The sequence below is a fragment of the Homo sapiens genome, chromosome 2, assembly GCF_000001405.40.
Source record: "Homo sapiens chromosome 2, GRCh38.p14 Primary Assembly".
NCBI classification, from domain to species: domain Eukaryota; kingdom Metazoa; phylum Chordata; class Mammalia; order Primates; family Hominidae; genus Homo; species Homo sapiens.
The window spans coordinates 149,218,948-149,224,579 of NC_000002.12; the positions used below are offsets into that span (position 1 = coordinate 149,218,948).

The window sequence follows — 5,632 nt, forward strand, 5'->3', positions numbered from 1 at the left end:
GTGAAAAATAGGGCTTCTGCAGCTCAATGCCGGAAGTACTATTTAGCAGGTCTGAGAATCTTCATTTTTAACAAGCATCTGATTCTGATATTGATGATTCTCACCCTGGTAGTCTTAGGGCATCATTTTTTAGAAAAAAATAACCCAGGCCCTCAACATAAGGCTGCAGAGCTCTGTGTTGAGAGCTCACAGTCTCCTAAGCCACCACACAAGGACTTTTTTAGTTCAGGAAAATTGGTTCCAGCTAAGGGTCTGGGAGCACGTGGAGGACATTGTGGATTGGCAGAGCTGCCACGTTGAGAATGGCCCTGAATTGCCTAGGACAAATGGGAGCTCCAGGAAGGGATTCTGGGTCCCCTTCCAGGCAAGCAGGATGTCAAGGGCTCTGAGCACTGACTTGAATCCCTGGGCATCATAGCTGAGTGCGGCAGTAAGAAGCCATGCAAAGCAATGGGCAAGGTGAGCCCATCCACAGGGCCTAAGTGCAGACTCAAAATCAGTTCCAATGCAAATATTTTCCAAAAGAGGACAGGCAACACAGGGCAAGCAAGTCTTGAAGATAAACTCTGATTAGATTTGTGAGGATCCTCAGTCAGGGAGGGCATCTCTTTTAGAGGGCTGTAGCCATCAGATAACTTCAACTACAAATAACAGAGTCCCAAATTGGCATAAATGAATTTCTTGGCTTACATTACTGGAGGTTCAGAGAGAGAGGGCTTCAAGGTGGACTTAGTCCAGTGGTTCCAGCCCCATCCTGTGCTGTTCTATTGGTTCTCCCTTGCCTCATATCCTTTGGTAACTAGATGGCTATAGCAGGGCCATACTGCCTACCCAGTGTCCAGGGAAACAGGCAGGGGGATGCTTCTGGAAGCTCTCCAAGAAAAGGTCTAAAGGCCTTTACCCAGCTTTCCAGCAAATCACAAGCCAGAAAGCTGTGGTCACCCTTGGCTTACTTCAGCCAAAGGAAGCTCAGTGTCCCTGAGGCATGTGTGGTGCACGGTGGAGGCTAGATATCTGAACAAAGCAGGCACGAGAAAGGAGGCAGAAAGAAATGCATCTAGATAAGCAGCCAGAACTGTCTGCTACAGATTCCCACAATGTGAGGCTGTGTGGAGGCCATTGTTAAGATGGCTGAGGCAATGCTATCATGTCAGAGATAAGAGAGGGGGCCTTTGTCTTTGAGAGCTGCATGGACTTGCCTGAAGCACACAGCTAGCAAGAAGCAGACACAGACAGAGAAGCTCCCGTGACTACTGTAATTCCCATTGTGCTCTCTTGTGATTAATGTACATTGTAAATCTGCAAGAGCATGCAGCACTTCCCAAACTATTCCATGAGAGGAACATTGCTTCACCAAACATCTGGTTTCCACAGAATACACTTTTGTGTACACAACCTTACAAATGTAGAGAGGTATGAGGGGAAACCTGCAAAACATGGGGGTGGGTAAGACATTGACTCCTAAAACACATGGTATATCCTAGGTACTTAATAAATGCATGCTGAATGAATAAACCTTAAACATTCAGAAACACTCACTTCTCCAAGATCATAGGCTCCTACCTGTACAGACCTGTTGCCATCATCCTCAGGTGAGCAGAAGCAGAAAATGTAAAAACTGCCTTAAAAAGGGGAAGCTTCAAATACTTTTTCTTTGGTTTTGTCCTTATGTTTGTTCACTGTTCAGTGTCTAGAATGGATATTAATCCAACTCATGCCCACCACTCCGTAGGGCTCAACTGTAAGTCAATCAAGAAGTCAATGGTTCCTGAAGATGGTATGTTCTTGTTTCTTCTCTTTGAGTATGTCTTCTGAAGAATTCTCTGAAGTTGTCAGTCATTTGTTATTTCTGTATATTACTAGATTTACTATGCAATCAATCTTGAGTCAGAGATGAGTCCTGAATATTAAGATTTATCCTCATTGTAACTAATAAATTTAAACCAAAATTAATTCATTCATGGACTGAGAGAATGCCTTTTTGTCAGAGATCTGGACAGATCCTCAAGGAAAGTCCTTTTATATCTTATCCAACAAAGGAAATGAATATATAATTAAGTGGAAATGTAAAATAAGGAATAATGCAGTATTTTAACTAACATAGGTAAACTCACTGATATGATTTGGTTTGGCTCTGTGTCCCCACCCAAATCTCGTCTCGAATTGTAATCCCCACTTGTGGGGGGAGGGACCTGTAATCCCCAGGTGTCGAGGGAGGGAGGTGACTGGATTGTGAGGGTGGTTTTCGCTGTTCTCATGATACCGAGTGAGTTCTCACGAGATCTGATAGCTTTAAAAGCGGCAGTTTCCCCTGCTCTTTGCTCTCCTGCTGTCTTGAGAAGAAGATGCCTGCTTCCCCTTCCACCACGATTGTAAGTTTTCTGAGGCCTCCCCAGGCATGCCAAACTGTGAGCCAGCTAAACTTCTTTCCTTTATAAATTACCCAGTCTCGGATATTTCTTTTTAGCAGTGTGAAAACAGACGAGTACACCCGCATTTGTTTTGGTGGTAGTTTTTCTTACAATTAATCCTAAATTGAATGTCAAACATTGATTTTGGAGGATGTTTTTTTCAGCAGTATTTAGGATCTGGCACTTTTCTACTTTCCTGGCTTTAAGAATTCAGGAATTGAAGAAAGACAAGGGAAAGATTTTTTATTATAATTGTAATAATGTCTCATTTTTAAGTGTGTAAGGGCAAGGAACTATTATTTGACTGATAGAATAGATTAGTGGAATAATTCGACATGACTTCCGTATTTTTCTTTTTAATGTAAAGTTTCAAAATGAAAAGTGAGTTTAACTAAGTGGAAAGATAATCCATGATTAAATAAGATAATGAAGCAGATATTGCAAACAAATGAACATGGTTAAAAACTTAAAGCTCATGATTAGAGAGAAAACAGTCAAATAGTTTAAGGCAAAACTTTGACGGATTATTGAAGGAAAAAAAAAGCAAAAATGCTAGATTTTATCTACTTTTTGAGTGAGGCAAGGGATAAGGCTAATCTTCCCGGTTTCATTATCAGCTGCTCTGGAAATGCAATTACCTGAAGTGGTTTGATGTCCCTTGTCAGATGTGGGTAAGTGTTTGTGCTAACGATGCAAGGACAGCACTGTGGTATGTGGGATGCAGTTCCCAGGGCGCACGTGCAGAATCCTAATAAGCATTTAATTCTTTTACTCAGCGAAGCCCGCAGTGCCTTGAGGGGAAGTGTAATCGGAGATTTGCACAGATGAGAAAGAAAACCACACGGACGGAGGGGCTTGGCAATGCCTGCTCTCTTGAGATCTCTGCTAGGGTTCAGCAGTGCCTTAAATCTAGGGGTCAAGCCTGGCCCAGTAGTTTACCCTTAGGGAGCAAGCTTTGGCTCTTGCAGCTCTGTTCTGAGAGTTTATAAGTAGCTAGGGTTTGAATGACTGATGCCCTAACGTGCTAGATGCTTGGTTCAGAGTAGGTGTTTGGGATCAAGTAGTTGAATGAGAGTAGCTTACTACTTGTGTTTTTCTTGAATGGAGGAAGGGTGGATGGTGTTGTGTAGGTCAATAGGTGTGAAGGTGAGTAATTTATAAGATGTGAATAGGAAATGGTTTTGCAATCTCATGTATTATCCCATTTGAGAGGCAGGTTCTTCCCGCTCCCAGTTTTGCCCCATGTAACTGAAGTTCTGCCTTTTTATGATACATTTCTAAGACTCTGTAATTTTAGCCAACTTTTGACATATTCATCCTTTGTAGTTAGCAGTTAGAAACCAAACTCTGTGGAATCCTTAATAAAGATGAACAGGCAGAAGAACAGGAAGAACAGAGAAAGAAGCCTAGAGTCTAACAGTCATCAAATCCTGTAACTCAGTCCTTGAAGAAGTGAACATGGCTTGGGCATATGATGAGATATGACTATAAACAAAAAACTGGGCACAGAGGGTCTTTAGCTCCCTCTTCCTACCACCTCCCACCATGCCCAGCACTGGTTTCTGTACTAAGCCAACAGGCAAACCATGGCTTTGCCCCAAAATAAATATCTGTTTGAATTGAATCCATGAAATATTTTTTCACAAAGTACTTAACTCATCAGCATTTGATTTCCCATTTGTACTTATTATTTATTCTCCATCTCCCTCCTAGGCATTGCAGGAGGATCAAGTAATGACTATTTTAAGTATCTGGTAGTCAGCAAGTGCTGCAAAACAACTACAAACTTAAATTATTTCCATTTCATTTTAAATTGGTTATATTTTATTCACTACCTTTTATATATTCTGTGGTTTTGATGTCACTAAGATGCCCCTTCCACACTCCATTAAATTGACTTCATTTTCTTGACAATGAGATTTCCATTTAGTTTTCATCAACTGCTTAGATTTCCTCATCTTCAAATGCCTCATTTTCAAAAGCAATAGGAAGTCTATGCTTCATACTATATAATGTGCAAGGCTTCCATTTAATGAATTGTTTGGCTAATTTTTTTAGGCAAATAAGCACATTAATTTGTACAAGCTATTAATACCAATTATTAATGCTTTTCATTTTGTTGGTTTCAGCAATCTCTGCATGACACATACTGCAACAAAATGGAAATTGATTTCACCAAGTTTGGCAACTCTGCAGTGTCTTGTAACCTTTGCAACGATGCTTATTTGAAAGGCTGGGTTTAATTATCCTTCTTTTGCCTGCTTCTCAAGATGTTGATGGGTAACAGTTCTATTGCACTTGACAGTTAAAAGTAAATTCATCTGGAGTGTTCCTACACTGTCCTTGATGCTTGTTATATAAGGAGACTTTAATATGCCCACCAGAAAAGCATTAGCCCAGCTTATCTGAGTCTTAGTTTTTATATGTGGGGAAAAAAGAAAGCGAGTCTCTCAGCTACAAGGCAATGTAGAAACCAGGCCTCCTGGGCAGAACAGAATGTGGTTTAGCCAGTTCTCTCTGAGACTAGAACTAAAGGCCCACTGGGATTCAAGACCCTTATAAAGCAGAAGAGCTTGGATCTTCTCTCTACTGCAGTATCTTTAATGTGACTTTCCAATTATACTTCCTTTTGGTGTCTTCTCATTTTATCCCTCCTCCCAGGAACTGGCTCCCTGACCCTCTTTCTGTGATGTAGCTTCTGCTTATTCAGATGTTCAAATCCCTCATGACTCTGGCTTTTTTGGCACTTGTCACTTTTTTGTCTTACACTCTTTCTGCATTTGTTCCTACTGCATAATTTGATTTGCTCTGCACTTTCTTGTTTTGGAAGTCATTTCCACTCTAGGCTCCCACAGAGGACCCTGTCCAGCCTAGAAGCTGGCTGCCTCTGCTCCAGGAAACTGTGGTCCAATAGCAGGGATAATAGCATGGCTTACAGTCGAGGGGGTATGGGTCCCTGGTGTTGCCTACAGCAGCTAGGTGGGCAATTTCCTTTAAAAGTGGCTGTGGGCAGGTTAGGTATTGTGATTGGCCAGCACCCCAAATAATATGTGGGGACACACCCTTGAGGGACTTTTTAAAGCTAAATGTGGCAATGTGGAAACACCTTTCTCTCTTGATCTCTCTTTTCATTTCCATACTCAAACCTTTCCTATCTTCAAATTTATTCTATCAGCATTTGAATTTCAAGTAATAAGACCGTGACTTGCCAGCTATCAGAT

At 41.4% G+C, this 5,632-nt stretch overlaps 1 annotated feature.

The window, feature by feature from the left end:
• Positions 4,733 to 5,234: an enhancer, noted in NCBI's record as "NANOG hESC enhancer chr2:150080194-150080695 (GRCh37/hg19 assembly coordinates)". NCBI's record gives its function as "activates a minimal SCP1, AML or CMV promoter by ChIP-STARR-seq in primed H9 embryonic stem cells {active_cell/tissue: H9 hESC(primed)}" and the evidence as "EXISTENCE:reporter gene assay evidence [ECO:0000049][PMID:30033119]".